The 19,194-nt window shown below is 52.3% G+C and overlaps 1 protein-coding gene across 3 annotated transcripts, besides 2 other annotated features; it reads left to right on the top strand.

Moving 5' to 3' along the window:
• On the top strand, positions 61–12,846 carry HPCAL4 (hippocalcin like 4). Of its 3 annotated transcripts, NM_001282396.2 has the most exons (5): positions 61–188; positions 324–429; positions 6,883–7,052; positions 7,342–7,557; positions 8,761–12,846. In NM_001282396.2, exons 3-5 carry the CDS (start codon positions 6,891–6,893, stop codon positions 8,956–8,958), a joined length of 576 nt encoding a protein of 191 aa, NP_001269325.1. In that variant the 5' UTR covers positions 61–188; positions 324–429; positions 6,883–6,890; the 3' UTR covers positions 8,959–12,846. The 3 variants fall into 3 exon arrangements, with proteins under 3 accessions (NP_001269325.1, NP_057341.1, NP_001269326.1); NM_016257.4 differs by lacking the exon at positions 324–429; NM_001282397.2 differs by lacking the exons at positions 324–429; positions 7,342–7,557.
• Positions 205–284: a silencer, noted in NCBI's record as "silent region_710". NCBI's record gives its function as "represses an Ori minimal core promoter by ATAC-STARR-seq in GM12878 lymphoblastoid cells {active_cell/tissue: GM12878}" and the evidence as "EXISTENCE:reporter gene assay evidence [ECO:0000049][PMID:35858748]".
• Positions 1,559–1,785: a silencer, noted in NCBI's record as "fragment chr1:40155381-40155607 (GRCh37/hg19 assembly coordinates)". NCBI's record gives its function as "represses an EF-1alpha promoter that drives an FKBP-Casp9 reporter gene in an ReSE screen in HepG2 liver carcinoma cells {active_cell/tissue: HepG2}" and the evidence as "EXISTENCE:reporter gene assay evidence [ECO:0000049][PMID:32094911]".

Genomic DNA, 19,194 nt, shown 5'->3' with positions numbered 1-19,194 from the left:
AACCTGCCCGGGATGGGGCGGGGCTTATGCAAATAGTGTCGCCTTCGGGAGGCACATAGTGATACAAGAGCTGGAAGGCGGCTCCGGCGCAGACCTTGGAGAGCACAGCTGCCGGCCCGCGAGCCAGCCTCGGTTCCCGCGGCCCGCCGAGGCTCGGAGCCATCCAGCGACCCGGCGACCGGCCTCAGGTAATGCGAGTGGGACCGGGTCCTCAAGGCAACAAACCCACCGGGCGGAGGCCCTGGCCCCCTCCCCCTCCACTCTCCCTTCCCATCCTCATGTCCTGCCCTGATTCACCTCCCTGACCCGTGGTTCCGCCTTAGGCGGCAGCAACTGAAGAGCCCACCCCTGGGCAGGAGACCCCCCACCTCAGTCCAGGCCCATGGGTGCAGAGAAGGAGGCAGAGCCGCCTACTTATCCCCAGCTCAGGTGAGAACAACCATTGCTATGGCCCCCAACATACACGCGCGCAAACACACATACACACACAGATGCACACACACACATCTGGGGGTGTGGTGGCGCTGGTGCTAGCTGGAGGCGCTGGTCACCCTCCCTCCTGTTTGGATATGGGTTGTCTGCCCAGCACCATGGCAAACTCCCACCTCCACGGATAGCCCCTAGCCACTTCTCATCAGGGAGCCCCTGCCCCCAAAGACAGCCTCCCCCTCCACAGAGCGCTCCCTCCTTGTTGTCCCCAGACACTGTCCCCACATCCCACCCCTCAAGCTGACAGAGCCCACAGCATACCTGAGGGGGGGACAATCCCCCTTCCCCAGTTTTTCTCCTCACAGTCTCGACAGCCCTCCCCAGTGGCCCCCAGTGCTAGGCAGAGGCCCCATATTTGGCATCTCTCATCCTGGCGGGAGGATGAACCAAAGACACCACCCCCAGCAGACCACCCATACCGTCAGTCCAGTTGCTGCCAAGGCCCCAACCTCCATACCTCCTCCCTCCCCCCTCACAGCCAGGCACCAAATCCTCTCATTCTGCCTGTCAAATGTCTTTCTAATTTGTATGACTATTTGCTCCCTCTCTCCCACCTTCCTGCTGCTCCGTGGGGACCTTGCCAAGGTGCCATGTGGGCTGTATTGCTCTTGGCCCTAAAGTGAACTATACCTGGAGGGCAGATGAGCTGGGTTCAAATCTTGTACAGCCAAAGTTTGACTTTGGCCAAGTCACTCCCCTCTCTGATCCTTCATGAAAATGGGGAGAGGTATAACAGAGAGGGTAGACTGGGTGAGATGAACTTGAACAGCCTTCTGGCACTGAGACACTCTGGTTCTATGGCTGATTATGGAAAAACAGGATCCTGAACCAAGAGGACATTAAAGAGAGGAGACCTGAGGGGGGCGGGGTTGGTTTAGAACTCACTGAAGACACATTCCTTCTTAACCAGCCTAGGTACAGGCTACCTCCTCCCACACATTCTCCAGGCCCCTTCTATTAGGAGTCCCTCCTAGACCACCAGCCCATCCTGACATGGACAGCTCCAAATTGTAGGTGGCCAGCTGGGATTACTCTTTGTTTGTCATCCCCTGCCTCTCATTAAGAAGAAGAGGGAAAAGACCTGGTTGCTGCTGCTATTGCTGCTGCTTGGGGAAGAGCAAAGGGAGGAGAGGAAAGAGAGAAAAAATCTCCTGACCAGGGAGCTATTGTCACCATGGCAACCACCTCAGTACCAGCTCCTCTGAAGCTGGGTGAGGGTGTGGGATTATTGCCTCCTTCAGTCCCTCCCATTCAAAGCCTCAGCCACCTCTCCATTCAAAGCCCACAGCCCTTAGCCCTCTTGAAGAAACCTCTGGGCACACTGGGACAATGGTTTTGTGTATGGGACAGTCCCAGCTCCTTCATAGCTGGAGGACAGCCCTCAAGAGGTAAGCAGAGGAGCCTGCCCATGTTCAGCAGGGCCACAGCTCCAGCAGAGCATGTCCCCAGCTGGGTTCTGGCCTTCACTTTGCTGCTGATGGGCTATAGTTGACCTGGGGTGAACCCTTCCTTCCCCTAGGTCTGGGTTCCATTGTCTCTGAAGTGGGTGTGATAGCAGGAGAACACAGATAAACAAAACAGCCTGACATAGATCCAGGGAGGAAGAAGGGGGTTCTGCTCCTCTTACGTAATCCACCAAGAGACATTCATTGAACATCACTGTGTCCTAGGCATTGCCACTGCGTCTCCACAGAGCAGTTCTGTGCAGGCACAGAAGGCAGGGTGGGAACCAGGGTAGGGGAGCTATAAGAGAGAAAAAACCCCTGCTCTCATGGGTCCCAGACTCAGTGAGGACTAAGCACTCACTGGGAGAAGTGAGTGCATAGGGAAAAGCACTTTTATTTTCCCCATGGGAAAAATAAACTTTTCTCACGCTTCAACCTGCTCAAAAGTGGACTGGGGCATATTGGAGGGGATCAACTCCTTGCCATTGAGCAAAAAGGTCTGGAGGATTTTTTTTCTGACTCAGGCAGGGGTTTAATGCAAAGACCTGTCTCAAATCAGACTGCATCCTGGAATTCTACAGCACCAGGTGAGGGTCAGAGGGCTATGAAGTCTACACGCCTGTGGGGGACTGACTCATGCCCAAAGTGCTGAGCTTGGGCTGCTGACTCTCCACTGTCCAGACTGGAAAAGGCTGATCATAAGGAAGCAGGCTTCAACCAGGCCCTGAAGACTGATTATAGTCCAGGAGAGAAGAAAGGATATTAGGGGAGAGGAAAATAGCTTAGCAAAGAGGTGAGGCGTGTCTGGCTGTGAGAAGGCTGGCTTGAGAGGAGTATGCGGTGGTGAGTGAGCAATGAGAGCTGAGGCGAGATAGGTGGGCACTTTGAGACCAGATTCTAGAGGATTCTAGAGTTTCAGGGGGCCCATGGGCATGGCTACTTCTAGTCTATATTGTAACTTTCGGGGGGAAAAAGCCATTCCCTCCTAACAGAGGAATCAAAAGAAAGGCACTTCCTGCCAGGCAGGGAAGCCCCATGGGCATGAGCATAGCTTGATTTCAGCCCCCTCGGCTGTGTCCCTGGCTATGGACATAATGAAGGTACCAAGAGCATTTCAAAATAAGAGACAACAGGACTTGATGGCAAGTTAGACCTAGGGCAAAGGGAAGGGAAAAAATGAAGGTAACTAAGATTGTGTTCCCCACACCCCGGGGATGAGGGAGAGAAGGAAGGGGCAACAGAGACAGTCTGACCATCTCTGGTTGGGAGCGAGTCTGGCTGTAGACTTGCTGTCTCAGAGGTGCTGGTGGACACCCCTAGGGTGGCTATCTCCTGGGTGTCAGAGATTGTGGCCCCAGATGGTTCCACTGCGGCCAAAAGGGAGATCAGAGCTCTGATTTTCCCAGAGGGCAGATGTGGGTGGAGAAGGTCTGTGCTGAACAAGAGTAGCCATGATTTGGAGACGGTGGCCCAGGCAGGTAGCACGGATTCAGCCTGAGTGCTCATCTGGGCCCTCCCACTGACCTGCTGTGTAACCCTGAGCCAGTTTTCTCCTATCTCTCAATTTCCATTTTCACTGAAATAAGGGGATGATCTTAAAGGGCACGGCCAGTTTTGACCTTCTTTTCTTAATTTTTTATTTACTTATTTTTTTTTTGAGACAGGGTCTTGCTCTGTTGCCCAGGCTCGAGTGCAGTGGCTCAATCACGGCTCACTGCAGCCTCAACCTCCTGGGCTCAAGTGATCCTCCCACCTCAGCTTCTGAGCAGCTGGGACTACAGGCACATGCTACCATGTCTGGCTAATTTTTAAATTTTATGTAGAAACAGGGTTTCCTTATCTTGCCCAGGCTCAGCTTTGACCTTCTGATGATCTAGAGGGAATGAGGAGAAATAAAGGAGGAGGCATAGTCTGGGTCTGAGACCCAATAAAAGCAGGGAACAGGAAGGACCCTAGGAGACAGAGAATTGTGGAGAAGGCAGCACAGAGCAGGGAGGAGAAAAGGGGTATAAGGTGAGAGCCACACAGACACTGTGACACACACAGAGAGACGTGTGCACTCTGACAGATTTGCAGCCTCAGACATTGACATGCTCCCACACACAGACCCAGCCCCTCATGCTGACTCTCAGGCACATCCTACGGAAGACAGCTGGAGAGGCTGTGCCTCCCCCCATCAGACATCTCTGCCTGACTTCTCCAGCTTCCTTGACTATACCCTGAGCCTTGAGAGTCCTTTGGATTTGGGAGAGGGGTGAGGCCTGCCTCCTTTTGCCTATGGGTGTTCCAGAGGCATCCTTGCTCTGGCCTCAGTGTAGCCATTTTCCGCCCAGCCTCAGGTTCCTGAAGATGGCATGCTCCCCCTCCCTGGCTTTTCCTGAGGGCATACAATTCCTCATCCTCTGGGAGTGGGGAAGGATGTTGCTACCTGCACTGCTCCTTGGTCTTCCTTATGGCCCAGTGGAGGAATCTGAGGCCCAGAGAGGATCTGTAACTAGCCTGAGGTCAGCCCAGCAAAGGGGAGTGGGAAGGAATGGACCAACCTCAGATTTGCTATTTAGTGTTTTCCCAGTTGTAAGAATTAGAAGCCCACTGGCAGACATCGGGCTATGGGAGTGGAATTCCTTCTGCCAGCCCAAGGGCTTCCTTTTCCAGAGTATCTTGAGGACAGGCTACCTGGGGTGGGAGCCTGACCCTCTTCCAAAGAGACTCTAGGCAGGTCAGAGGCACCTCCCAAGCCATGTCCTGGGAAACCCAGACTCTGCAGGGACATTCCTCCCAGGGAGGTCAGAGAGGAGGGTCCACTCTGCCTTCAAGGTCTGGCCACACTTCCTGAGGAGGGCCTGTACCTCTTCAAACACTTCCCCTGGCACAGCCCACTTACGGGCTCACATTCCCACTGGGGAATAACTCTTGATCCTTCCCAAACCTGCTTCTCAGCAACAACACTTCTATCCACTGAGGCTCAAATCTGAGCCTCTGCCTCAACTCCTCTGTTCCTCTTACTCCCACATCCAATCAACTGCAAAGTCCTGCCAGTGCCCTTCTTAACGTCTCAGCCCATCCACGTCTCTCCACGACCCTTACTCTGGCAGCATTGTCTCTCACCTGAACCGTGTAGCAGGCCCCTCCCTGCTCTACCTACCTGCCCCCACCAAAGGTCATCTTGCATGCTGTGGCCAAAGGAAAAATTCTTTTTTTTCTTTTTTGAGACAGGGCCTTTCTTTATCGCCCAGGCTGTAGTACAGTGGTGCCATCTCAGCTCACTGCAACCCCTGCCTCCCAGGCTCAAGTGATCCTCCCATCTTAGCCTCCCAAGTATCTGGGACTACAGGCATGCACCACCACACTCAGTGAATTTTTTTTTTTTTTTTTTTTTGAGACGGAGTCTCACTCTGTCGCCCAGGCTGGAGTGCAGTGGAGCGATCTCGGCTCACCGCAAGCTCCGCCTCTGGGGTTGATGCCATTCTCCTGCCTCAGCCTCCCAAGTAGCTGGGACTACTGGCGCCCGCCACCATGCCTGGCTAATTTTTTGTATTTTTAGTAGAGATGGGGTTTCACTGTGTTAGCCAGGATGGTCTTGATCTCCTGACCTCGTGATCCACCTGCCTCAGCCTCTCAAAGTGCTGGGATTACAGGCGTGAGCCACTGCGCCCGGCCAATATATTTTTTTTTTTTTTGAGGTGGAGTCTCACTGTGTCACCCAGGTTGGAGTGCAGTGGCGCGATCTCAGCTCACTGCATGCTCTCCCTCCTGGGTTGACGCCATTCTCCTGCCTCAGCCTCCCGAGTAGCTGGGACTACAGGCGCCTGCCACGACGCCCAGCTAATTTTTTTGTATTTGTAGTAGAGACAGGGTTTCACCGTGTTAGCCAGGATGGTCTTGATCACCTGACTTCGTGATCCACCCACCTTGGCCTCCCAAAGTGCTGGGATTACAGGTGTGAGCCACCGTGCCCGGCCGCGCCCAGCCAAATTTTTAAATTTTTTGTAGAGACTAGGTGTCACTGTATTGCCTAGGCTGGTCTCAAACTCCTGGCCTCAAGCTGTCCTCTCATCTCAGCCTCCCAAGGTACTGGGATTATAGGCATGAAATACGGTGCCCAGCCTGGAAAAATTTTAAAACACATACCTTTTCTTGGGTCCCCAGTGACTCGTTCAAGACTGGGTATATCATAAGCATTCTGTAAATATTGTGGAATGAATGCAATCTTCCCAGCCCTTGTTTTAAAAAATCCCAGGAGCGTCTGTTCCCTCCAATTTCTTGGCATGGATTGGAGGCCCTTTGTAACCAACCATCTGCCTCTTTGACCCAGTTACAAGTTATTGAAGGTTGGCTCATGTCTGCTTCATCTCCATCACTGGCACAGGGCCTAGCACACAGTCAGTCTCAATAAATGCTCAGGGAATGAATGGATTAATGAAAAGCCAAATGTCAGTAGAGGATTTCTATTTGTATAGAGGAAAGAGGGAGAGAAGCTCCCTGCTGGGGTGGCCCAAGAAAGCCTTGAGGAAGAAATTGGGAGACAGTGCCAAGGGGACACACAAGGAACCTACCTTGGGTCCCTTCTCAGGACAGAAGCCTGCCAAGGAGGGTGGGGGCTGACTTCAGAAAGCCCTAAATGGCAAGGAGAGGAGTCAAGGCCTTAGTCTGTGGGCAGGGGAGCCATGAAAGGTGTGAGCAGGAGGGGAGAGGATGAAGACTGTGGCGTGCTGCACGGTCAGTGAGGAGGAGAGCTGAGACCTGGAAGGCGGGAGACCCCCGGGGCTAGGAGAAGAAACCTACCTGAATGCAGGTGTTGTGAGGGGAGAGGAGGCCCCATTATGGGGGAGTGTCATGAGGGGAAGGAACCTGCAACCCCGCCCTGTGTGTGGCAGGGGAGGGGGCAGCTGTGGCTGAGGCAGGGCCTTTCCCTGGACCCAGTCGGAGGAATCCCTCTGTCCCACAGGCCCCGCCATGGGGAAGACCAACAGCAAGCTGGCCCCCGAGGTGCTGGAGGACCTTGTTCAGAACACTGAGTTCAGCGAGCAGGAGCTGAAGCAGTGGTACAAGGGCTTCCTGAAGGACTGCCCCAGCGGCATCCTCAACCTGGAGGAGTTTCAGCAGCTCTACATCAAGGTGGGCGGCCGGCACCTGGTGTGAGGGAGCCAAGTACCCGGGTTGGGGGAGGCGAGGAACCGGGGGTGAGGGAGGCAGGGCACCCTGGGATGAGAAGAGGCGAGGCACCCGGGGTGGGAGGGGAGGCGAGGCACCCGGGGTGCGGGGGAGGTGAGGCACCCGGGGTGGCGGGGGCAAGGCACCCGGGGTGGGAGGAGGCGAGGCACCCGGGGTGCAGGGGAGGTTCCCTGAGATGGGGGCGGGGTGGGCGGGGCTGTCGCTGCGCCCCAACCCACCGCACCCCCCTCAGTTCTTCCCCTACGGCGACGCCTCCAAGTTCGCGCAGCACGCTTTCCGCACCTTCGACAAGAACGGCGACGGCACCATCGACTTCCGGGAGTTCATCTGCGCCCTGTCGGTCACCTCCCGCGGCAGCTTCGAGCAGAAGCTCAACTGGGCCTTTGAGATGTACGACCTGGACGGCGACGGGCGCATCACGCGCCTGGAGATGCTGGAGATCATCGAGGTGCGGGGCCGCGCGGGCGCTGCTGTTCCCGAGGCCAGCGCTTCGCCATCCCCGCCCCTGCCTCCGCGCTGCTCTCGGGCTTCGGGGCCTCCCTGCTGCTCCCCAGCCTGCGATCCCGCCTCCTACCACCCCGCTACAGGCCCGGGCTAAATGCTTTACCCGACACTCGACGGGGCGGAGGGGTTGGTTACTGTCCCAAACCCCATTTGGCAGAGGAGGAAACGGCCGGGTTCCTGATTCCAATCCAGGGAGTCTGACCTCATAGCTGATGTTTTCAACTCATTCTGTCAACAGGCAGGGATTGAGCGCCTGCCAGTTCTTGCTTTCATGGGGCATTCCTTCTAGTGAGAAATTTTTTTAAAAAATAAATGAATGAAGACATGCGGGGTCAGGCCGTAGGTGCTATGAGGAAGATACACTAAGCAAAGTGCAGGGAGAGCGCGTGATGGAGAAGTTACTTTATATAAGATGGAAAGTTAGCAGCAGCCTGAATGGGGTGAGGCCTTTACTGCAAGATGCCTGGGGGAAAGCGTTCCATGCTGAGGGGCAATTAAGGCAGGTCGGCCTTTCTCTGCAGAGTTCAAGGAGGGGCCAGGAGGCCCGGTGGTGGGAGAGCCATGAGAGGGAGAGAGTGATAGGAAGGTGGTCATACGGGGAGCCAGGAGCCCCATCAGTAAGGTCTCCACGGAGTTGGGCTTCTGGCATGTTTCATCCACATAAATATTATTTAGTCTAAATAAAAAATTAGTTGAGGGCTGGGCGTGGTGGCTCACGCCTGTAATCCTAGCACTTTGGGAGGGTGAGGCCGGTGGATTACCTGAGGTAATGAGTTCGAGACCAACCCGGTCAACATGGTGAAACCCCGTCTCTACTAAAAATACAAAAATTAGCGGGACGTGTTGGTGCATGCCTGTAATCCCAGCTACTCAGGAGGCTGAAGCAGGAAAATCACTTGAACCCAGGAGGCAGAGGTTGCAGTAAGCCGAGATCGCGCCATTGCACTCCATCCTGGGCAACAAGATCGAAACTCTGTTTCAAAAAAAAAAAGAGTTGCTCATTAAATATCCAGTCTTAATGACCACATATACCTTCCAGTATCCTCACCAACCCCCAGTGTTCTCCCTGCCAGATCCCTTTCCTTCACCCGCTGCTTCTCGGGGCCCCTTGTGGGTGTTCACACCTCCCTCCTCCTTCCCTCACCAGGCAATCTACAAGATGGTGGGCACCGTGATCATGATGCGCATGAACCAGGACGGGCTCACGCCCCAGCAGCGTGTGGACAAGATCTTCAAGAAGATGGACCAGGATAAGGACGACCAGATTACATTGGAGGAGTTCAAGGAGGCAGCCAAGAGTGACCCATCCATTGTGTTGCTGCTGCAGTGTGACATGCAGAAGTAGAAGCTGGTGAGGGGCAGGGTCCCTGGCCAGAAGGGGCATGGCCACCTCCCAACCTGATGACCTCTCTGGCTGGCCTCCCAGGAGGAGGGACACTCCAGCCCCCCTCTCTGGCCCACCCAGTCCTCTGCCCAAGCCCTTCCTCCCCTCCATCAAGATCTTTGAGGGACCACCTCACCCTGCAAAAGAGACAGGTCCTCCAGTACCCTGTCTTCTAGCCCCACCTCCCACTTGGCCAGAACCAATGTCCATTGGGCATAGGGGAGTTGGCTTTTGCCCCAGGAGGTGAGGTTAAGGAGTTGGGGGCCTGGGGTTCTGGTTAGGAATTCTCTTGATCCTGGGATTATGCTTTATAGGATGTGGTCCCACAGGCCTGTCACAGGGCCAAATTGGGTCTGTCCATTCCTGAGGCTCCAGATCCCATAAAGGGGGTCTCTTCCCCATCCCTTCTACTCTACCTGGCCCTTCCAGCCCCAGCCTTTGGAGCGTTCATTCAGTCCTTTCTTCAGCTAATGATTACTGAGCACCTGTTTGGTGCTAAGGATATGGTCATTTACAAGACACATCTTGTGCCCTCTGGAAGCTCATAGGGTTGTGAGGCAAACTTCCAGCCGTCAGGGTCTCAGCTAAGCAGAAGGTGCTGGAAGGCTGGTTAGTCTGGGAGGAGCTATTTCATCTTCCAGCTCAGCTCCACACAAAGCTGCAGAAGGACGAAATGAAAAGCATTTGGAAGTTTAGGAGCCACGTGAGTGAAAGTTTTAAGAAAAATGAAATTTATGTCATACTTATTTTTTTAGTACCCTTTAAAGGAGCTACAGTCATTTTATTATTTCAGGAGGTTAAAATATACTCTATATTACTTGGTTTCTTATAAAATGATTAAATGAATAGAGAAAATATTAATTTTCAAGGGGAAAAAACCTGAGAAGAAAGGGAGAAAAGACCATGAAATTTACCAGATAACACTTTTTAAGACTAAGTCCTGAGCTGCCACTCTCAGCAGTTTTTGCTGCTTCAGCTCTTCCTTTTTATTACCTTTTTCAATTCAACAAGCAACTTTCTGCTACATACTTACTCCGGTTGGGTGCTGACTTCAGGGACAGGAAAAAGCAAGGTTTGCAAAGAGTGAAACTAGTGTATATTCCGTATCTTGGTAGTTCGTTTCTGGATTGGGTTTAGTTTCAGAACTGGACTTGTTCCTTCACTGCCACAGAATCAGAAAGAGCTAGAAGAAAAGGCTCACCTGGCCACTGTTTAGGCACCCAGACATAATTTATGGACGAAATGCCTAAAAATGTGCCAGGCATGCTCTGTTTGAGAGGCTTTTTCTAACCCCAAATCTTAGATCTGCCAGGTAGTTCAACATCTTCCAAGTGTGCTGGTTCTGCTTTCCAATGCCTGCTTCCCAATTTTGGATCCATGAGCTATACAGCTGCATGCTTTGACTGCCGGAAAAATTAATCTTGCTTCTTCATCAGGTCTTTCTCCTGTACTTGTGATCAGAAATTACCTTTGACGTGCAGTGACAGTTGATTTCCTCTTGAACTGCCGGTGAAAACAGTCTAGTACACAGGTGCTGTCAGCCCAGGGTGGGAGCAGGAAATGATTGCTGAGCCCGGGGCAGGGGAATTGCATCTGCAGGAAAGAGATGCAGCATGCTCCTCACTCCTGAGTGCCCACCTGTCCTGCTTCTCTGCAGGTGAAAACTCTGGGGGATGCTGATCAATAGAGCTTGGTCCCAAGCTCTACTGGGCCCTTGGAGGTAGCAAGGCCACTGGGTTGCTATCCTCTTGCTGGGGATAGCAACCACTGGTTTGCAACCACTGGGTTGCTATCCTTTTGCTATCCTCTTGCTCATGACCAGCCATATGGTGAGGCTGGGGAGTTCACATCCTCAGGCAGGAACTAGCAGTTGTTTATCCAGCAATGCCTCAAGGATGTTGCATTGCTCCCAGGAACTGGCTATTAGGTATGTCTTGTGCGGTCAGTCAGCATCACAGACACATAGATGCTCACCAGCCTGGCTTAGCTGGGACCTAAATCTTCTGGTGAAAAGCTTTTCACTAAGTGAGGTTCCTTCCCTGCAAATGCTGAATCTAGCCTAATTCGCAACCACACAGAATTTCATGGCTTTCAAAGGCTTGCCATGTGCCCCATCTCATTCTATACTCACATCCCATGGAGGTGAGGATTTTCACTTCTTTTCTCTAGACTTGGAAGCTGAGATTCAGAGAGGAAGCATCCCTTGTGCAAGATCACATAGTCAGGAGGTGACACAGGGCTAAGACTTGAACCAAGGCTCTAAGAGGATTTCTTCTTTTCAGAGTCTCTTCCCTGTCCATTTCTGTGACTAAGCTGTGCAGAGGTTGACAGCAGGGCAAGTTACATTGATATTCATCCTTTATAGGCTTCCTGCTAAAAAGCTTCTGAGATTGTGGTCTTCCAAAAAAAATAGGAGCTTGGTTGAAGTCCCCACATTTTCAAGCACTCAGTGTTCTGCCTCTGGCAGCTGTGCTAACAGCTCAGTGCTGTCCTGGGAGTCCTCTGACTCAGAACCCTCGAAGCATCCTGCATTGTCTTTACCCACCATCATCTTCACTAAGAGAAACATGCCTACCCATGAAGGCGTGTTTGATTACTCCAGGCTTCTGGACACACATACCCATGGGTGATTTTTGCTCCTCAGGCCCAATATTCTCAGACAGCCCAGCAGTGTGAACACACAATGCCAGGCCAGGAACTGGGACCACCATCTTGCTGATGGAAGGAACAACAGGTGGCCCAGGACATGCTCCTGCATACTCCTGGGTGTCCCAGGGACTGTGTGCTCAGGAGCACTGTGGTAGAGCACTGGCCCTGCCTTGAGAAGAGACACAGGTCTCCCGTCCCTGCACCAGCTGAGAGAGACTTGCCGCAAAGCACAAGGCTGGCAGAGATTTATGTATGACTTGCACAGACACAAAAATATACAGACAATCAAAACATTGATATATTCAAACTCTCCTTTAAATTCCAATCTTATTGCAACAACTCTGTGAATTGCAAGGTCCCAGAATCTGCCTTCTCACATACTCTACCCTCATTCATCCTTTTGGGCTAATTGATGAGCATCTTATTTCTTATCTCTAAAAATTATCAGCAAAGGCTACTTCAGATGGCCACTTTAGTCCTTTCAGCTGTAGTCAGGATTATTTAACTTACCTGTATATCAAAAGTGAAGAAAAAGTTAGTTCATAAGTAAAGGCACTAAATCCTTTCCTGACAATGGCAGAGTCTCTAGAGGTAGAAATTTGCCTTGCTGCAGAGAGAGAAGGAATGGCGTGGGATGGGGGAAAGAAAAGAAAGAGAAGAAGCTGGGGTCTCCAGGCAGGGTAGTAAGCTGACACTAAATATTTTTTACACAAAAATGTATTGAAGCAACAAATATTTCCTGAAGATCCACCCTGGGTGAGGCTTTGAGCTGACTTTAGAGATCACTGTGGGGTCAAGAATGTCTTACATGTTTTATTCATCATTCTTGAAAAAAGAAATAATTCAAACCTTGGAATTAAAAAGTCAGAAAAATATGGGATTTTCTTTCTGGAATTTTCGAGGTTTTCTTTTTACCTTTGCCAGAGTGTGGGGGCAGGACTGGGCCTGCCAGGGTGTATAGCCCTTCCTGCTTGGTGGAGGCCAGTCAGGCCCAGGGCCTTCTAAGCAGCAGTAGAAAGGAGGCTTGGGGAAGTGGGGGGTCTGGGTAGCAGGGGAAGGAGGCCAGTTCCAGTGTAGCCCCCTATCCCCTCCAGATGTGCTGCTTCTGGCTGTGCACTCAGTGACTGCCCTCACTGCTCAACCCTGTGCTGTGTGGTGTGTTTCTTTCCCCACTGACAGTGAATAAAAGGTGCAACTGTGCTGAGGGCTCCTGCTCTTCCCTACACTGGGACAGGATTGGGGTGGGGAGAAAGGGACAGAAGAGGCCTGGGGAGGCTCACTCAGTGAAGGGCCAAGGTCCTTGTTCTAGCAAGGACTCTGGGAACATGGCATGAGACTCACTTGAGCTAGTTCAAAGAAATGGGGGAGCAGATTATAAGGGACTCTGAAGATGGAAAATCAAGAATGACTGAACCTCAGGCCAAGCGCAGAGGCTCACACCTGTAATCCCAGTACTTTGGGAGGCCAAGGGGCAGATCACAAGGTCGAGATCGAGACCATCCTGGCCAACATACTAATAATACAAAAATTAGCTGGGCATGGTGGTGCACGCCTATAGTCCCAGCTATTCGGGAGGCTGAGGCAGGAAAATTGCTTGAACCCAGGAGGCTGAGGTTGCAGTGAGCAGCGGAGGTTGCAGTGAGCCGAGATCGCACCACTGCACTCCAGCCTGGTGACAGAGCAAGACTCCATCTCAAAAAAAATAAAAAAATAAAAATAAAAATAAAATAAAAACTGGCTGAACCTCAAGAGAACTGGAACTGGCAACTGGGCCTCTTCCTTACCATCTCTGGGTCTTGCAGGCTCTTGTTCCCTGGGCAGTATTTGCATCCATGCTCTTTTCCTGGGCTTCTCTTCAGACTTCTTTGGTTTTGTTGCACACAGTGGCTGAATCTCCAACTCGGTATCAAGACTCACCAGTGACTGACAACTCCCCTCTGTGCCTCTTAGTTTCAATTCACAAGCAAAAGGATCTGATTGGTTTGGCTTAGCTTTTGGCGGGATCCCTTAGGTCAGGTGTCCTCCCTTGGCCCAACCATCTGTAGCCTGACTGGACACTGATATGTGGGACCTGTGAGCAATTCCCTCAGAAGGAAGCTAATGGCAGCAGACGTTGGGACTTAGTTTCCCCCTCTGCCCAGTGAAAGGCCTCTTAAGAGCCCAAATGAGAGGACAGTGGCCAGCGGAAAGAAAGGCCAAGAGCCAGGGTTACAATTCGTCCATATGGCGCCCTTTGTATGACTTAGGAAAAGGCACCCCTCTGAGTGGAAGCAGCCCCATAAGTACGCAGCTGGGCAGTGGATAGCGCCTTTGGGCTAATTAGGAAAATATCTCCCTTCCTCCAGGTGAATACAGCCCTGTCATATTAGGGTGCACAGCTTCACAAGAGGAGCACAGGCTGCATTTCAGCCTGCCTCTCCTGCTGGTCACGGGTCATTGCATAGTGCGTAACCTGTTCCACCTTGACCTGAAATATGGTCAAGGGTTGGGGTGGGAGTTGGTGGTGAAGTGTTCCTCTCAGAATGTCCCCTGACAGTCCAAGAAGCACTGTTCCCTGCAGAGAGTTGGGGGCAGTGGTGGCTGGAGCTGCCTGCCTTCTCCTGAAATGCTCAATTGCTTCTACAAGGGTTGCGTCAAGGACACTTGGAGGTGGCCAGCTCCCTTGGCAGGAAGTAATTAGGACAGAGGAAGGAGGCTGACCTGGCCTCGGGGCAACCATGAACCTAACTAAGGAGGTGACTCAGAGGCCTGAGAACTTGGGGTTGCTATTCCCAGCTGAGGCCACGCTGGGGGATGGGAAGTCCTGTCCCCTGTCTACTTTGGGCACACAGGTCCTGGGTTGCCTTCTCCCAAAAACTACCCACTCAGGCCCTCATAATCTCTAACCCAGCCAAATTAGTCCACCTCCTACTTTCAGCCTTGCCCTCTGCCCCATCTAGCTGCCACTAAGAAGCCACAGTGACCTTCCTAAAGCACAAATCTAACCATGTCAGCTCTTCAAAGGCTCCCCTTGCCCCTCTGTATGATTTGCTCCTTAAATATCCCTCCAGGTCCTGCATGATCGGGCACCAGCCGATCTCAGAAGGTTTTTTTCTTCCTCTCACTTTTCATCCTGCACCCTGCACTAAGCCATCCTGAATGGCCCCCATTTCCTAAGGGGTCTCTTATGCTTTTGTGTTGTGCACAAGCCATTGCTCCTCCCTGGGTCACCCATTCCCCTGTCTGAATTATCTCCTCCTCTATGAAACCCTCCCAACTCTCCAACGATTGGCCCTTCACGTGTACACAGTCCCTCACAATCAACAAACACTTCCCATGTGATCTGCTGTTGGCTGAGCCAAGCACACATTTAAGTCTTTTTTTTTCTTTTTCTTTTTCTTTCCTTTTTTTTTTTTTTTTTTTGAGACAGAGTTTCGCTCTTGTTGCCCAGGCTGGAGTGCAGTGGCACGATCTCAGCCCACCTCAACCTCCGCCTCCCGGGTTCAAGCAATTCTCCTGCCTCAGCCTCCCGAGTAGCTGGGATTACAGGCATGCGCCACCATGCCCAGCTAATTTTGTATTTTTAGTAGAGATGGGGTTTCTCCATGTTGGTCAGGCTGGTCGCGAACTGCCGACCTGTGGTGATCCACCCGCCTCGGTCTCCCAAAGTTCTGGGATTACAGGCATGAGCCACCGTGCCCGGCCATGTCATTTTTTTTTTTTTTTTTTTAAAGACAAGGAAACAAAGGCCCAGAAAATGGTAAAGCTGGGACTTGATCTCAGGTCTCCTAACATCAAGGCCACTGCTTGTTGTGCCTTCTCAGCCACGGGAGTGAATCCAAGTCAGAATGTGAAAAGAGATTAAAAAAAAAACCGGCTGGGCACGGTGGGTCACACCTGTAATCCCAGCACTTTGGGAGGCCGAGGCGGGTGGATCATGAGGTCAGGAGATCGAGACCATCCTGGCTAATACGGTGAAACCCCGTCTCTACTAAAAATACAAAAAAATTAGCCAGGCATGGTGGCGGGCGCCTGTAGTCCCAGCTACTCAGGAGGCTGAGGCAGGAGAATGGCGTGAACCCGGGAGGCGGAGCTTGCAGTGAGCCGAGATCGTGCCACTGCACTCCAGCCTGGGCAACAGTGCAAGACTCTGTCTCAAAACAAAAACAAAAACAAAAACAAAAAACCCATGAGCTCTGAGCTTCAGAGGAGGAAGCGTCTTACCTGACTGGGGAGAGGTGAGGAATAGGTAAAGAGCAAAGGGCAGCCATGGCTTCATGGAGGAGGTGGCATCTGCCCCAGGTCTTACTAAACATTAGCCAACAGGGCCAGGCATGCTGGAGCAGGGCTCTCCAAGGGAACAGCCAGGTGTGGGGCTCCTGGAGTCATGCCCTACAGGGTCTGTTCCCAGCTTATTCATCTGAAGAAGTGCTGGACCTGGAGGCAAAGTCCTGGCTGGAGTCCAGAAACCCTGAGCCAGGGAAGCCCTGCACCCAGCCAGCTATTAGCAAGTGACAGGCAAGCCAGAGAGCATGGCCAGAAGCCTGGAAGGGTGGAAAGAACAGTTAAGGATCAAGTTCTCTAATCCTTCCAAAGAAGGATCTGGGGAAAGTTCTTTTTTTTTTTTAAGACAGAGTCTCGCTCTGTCACCCAGGCTGGCACGCAGTGGCACGATGATCTCGGCTCACTGCAACCTCTGCCTCCCGGGTTCAGGCAATTCTCCTGCCTCAGCCTCCTGAGTAGCTGGGATTACAGGCGCACCCCACCACACCCAGTTTTAATTTTTGTATTTTTAGTAGAGATGGAGTTTCACCATGTTGGTCAGGCTGGTCTTGAACTCCTGACCTTGTGATCCACCCACCTCGGCCTCCCAAAGTGCTAGGATTACAGGCATGAGCCACCGCACCCGGCCCGGGGAAAGTTCTTAAAGGGACTGAACCAGGAGTCTGGGCAGGATTCCTTGATGGCAAGGAACAGTGCCTACTCATGGCAGGGTGAGTAAAGGGGAATGGATTAGTTGGGACTTTTGGTTGCAAGTGAACGAAATCCAACTCACACAAGCTTAAGCAAAAAGGGAGGCTTATTGGCTCATGTAATTGGGAAGTTCAGGCATGGCTGGGTCCAGAAACTCAGTTGCATCCTCTCTCCCTCCCTCCTTCTGCTTCTCTCTCTGTGGCACCATTGTCCTTCCAGATGTGCTTCTTCCATGTTCTTTCACCTGCCAAATGGGTTCCCAGCTCACATTGCCCCAAATTAACAACCTCAGAGAAAAAGAGCCAAATCTCCCAGAAGCCCTAAATAAGAGTGAAGAGTGTCTCAGCTGGGGTCACATGCTCATCCTTGTGTCCAGGGACACAGGGCTCCGCCATTGGTCAGGTCTCAGTTACAGGTCTCTGTACCAGGTCTGGTACTTCTTGACCAGAAAACCAGGGAGGCAGGGCTTTTTATTAGAAAGAGAGGCCGGGAAAAGTGGCCACTCAAGCAAAACCACAATCCACCAAATTTCCTTTTGGGGGCATTTGTTGAAACAATGTGGAGAATCTCATGAAAGTGTAGAGATGGGCACCAGAGCCAGGCCTTAGCTAGAACTTGGGAAACTGTCAGGAGCAGAGGCGGCTCCATCTCAGGGCAGCATGGTTTCTCTCATGTGCTGCTCTCTGCACATCCTTTCCCATCTTGATCTGCTGCTCATCTCATTCTGCTCAGAGAGTCTCCACCTGCGCCGAGCTTTACTTTGCATATAACTGCAGTCTGCTGAGGCTCACCCAGGTCTCTTCGGAGCCAACTGTATTTCACAGCATCCTCAGCTTCTATTCCAATGGTTGACTGCCCAGCCCATTTCCCAATTCCAAATTCCTGAGAAAGACAAATCTGCTTGGCCCAGGTCATCTTTTCAAGCCAATCACACAGATTAAAGGCCGCTGGACAGCATGGGGGTGGCTCACTTTTGTGTGAAGTGCCCACCTCCATCCAAGTAACCACTCTATGTATTCTTCCTGAGTTACTTCATCATTCTTCTCCATGAGGCACCTGAGAATAATTGACCTCATTCCTAGAGTTTCAATTATTTATTGCAGTGTAACAAGCTACCCCAAAACTTGGTGCCTGAAACAACAATTTATTATTTTTGATGATTCTGTGAGTTGGCTGGGCTCAGCTGGAAGGTTTTACTGCTTCAGGTTGTGTTGGCTGGCGTCACCCACATAGCTGCACTCCACTGGGAGCTGAGCTGGGGCTGGGACAGCCAGGATGGCCTCATTCACATGTCTGTCAATTGTGCCTATAGTCACCTGGGCTGTCGCTAGCTTCTTATCCTCCAGGTCCTATCTGTCTCACTACGTGGCCTTTCCAGCAGGATAGTCCAGACTTATTTACATAGTAGCTGGCTCCCAAGAGGGCAAAAATGGAATCTGCAAGGCCTCTTAAGACGTAAGCTTGGAAACCACAGAGCACCACTTCTACTCCATTCAATTGGTCAAAGCAAGTCACAGGGCCAGCTCAGACTGGACTCCACCTCTGAATGGGAGGAATGTCAAAGTCACATTTCCAAAGGACAGGCAGGATGGAAGAGGTTTTTGGGCCATCTCTGGAAACAATCTTCTAGAAGTAAGTCTAAACACACTTCCCCCAATCCTAACATTTTATTATGATTTTTCCCTTCCTCCCACACAAGGGTTGGTTTATTCCTCCCAGGACCTGGTGGAGGCTGAGGGGATCACTCCATTCTGTAGCCCCCTCACCTCCCCAGTCAGAGGCCCTCCTAGCTAAGCCAGTGTTTTCTCCTGCTTCTCCCACCCACCCATGCACACCTCTGAGAGAGGCTGTCTGCTTCCTGGCCTGTACCTTGGGATGGGTGACATTTGTGTCTGCACCCTGAGACTAGTACAGAGCTCTGCATCAAGAGGGACAACACCCTGGAATTCCAGGATGGTAGTTCCGAGGCCCCTCTTCTGCCCTCCCTCTATCCAGCCCCTTCATGGCCTATAACAAATCACCCCAAGCTGGGCAGGTGGGGGCCTAGGAATGCGCGCCCTCTGCTGACCACCAAAGGGCCAGCAAGAATTCGGGTTCAGAGTCCCTGGGAGTCTCTCTGGCCTGGGTCCCCACCCCAGGCCAAGGTCTCGACCTGAGACCACCCGAGCCTGGTCTCAACATGGACTTCAAGGGCCCCTCCTAGGTGGTGTGGAGGAGCTGCCGGGTTGGGCCCTTCACTGAGCTCCCGCTGGGAGCAGGCTTCTGCTAGTGAGAGGAGCCATCCATGCATCACCTCCTGCCCGTCTGCCGGATGGACTGGCCTCGGAGGGAAGGGGACATCGTCAGGATCCCAGGGTCCTAGCTCCTAAAGGAAAGATGGGCAGCTAGCTTTTGGGAGGGGAGCGGCTAGCTTTTCATTTTGTCCTTTGGGGATCACTATCCTGGGGGAAAAAAAAAGTTGTCAGGCCTCTCCTGTCTCCGCGCCCTGCAGCGCCTGCGAAGAACATCATTTTCGCAATCCCCAATCCGCTGCAGCCCACAAACCCAGAGAGCCAGAGAGCCCCCCTCACCACCCAACCGGCTGCTGGCGTGGGT

Source organism: Homo sapiens, chromosome 1, assembly GCF_000001405.40.
Source record: "Homo sapiens chromosome 1, GRCh38.p14 Primary Assembly".
In the NCBI taxonomy this organism is placed as follows: domain Eukaryota; kingdom Metazoa; phylum Chordata; class Mammalia; order Primates; family Hominidae; genus Homo; species Homo sapiens.
This window is presented reverse-complemented; position numbering and strand designations above follow the sequence as displayed.

Coding starts and splice junctions, on each gene's coding strand:
- HPCAL4 (NM_016257.4), top strand. CDS start 6,891: ATGGGGAAGACCAACAGCAAGCTGGCCCCCGAGGTGCTGGAGGACCTT. Junction 7,053..7,341: donor TTCAGCAGCTCTACATCAAG/GTGGGCGGCCGG, acceptor CACCCCCCTCAG/TTCTTCCCCTACGGCGACGC. Junction 7,558..8,760: donor AGATGCTGGAGATCATCGAG/GTGCGGGGCCGC, acceptor TTCCCTCACCAG/GCAATCTACAAGATGGTGGG.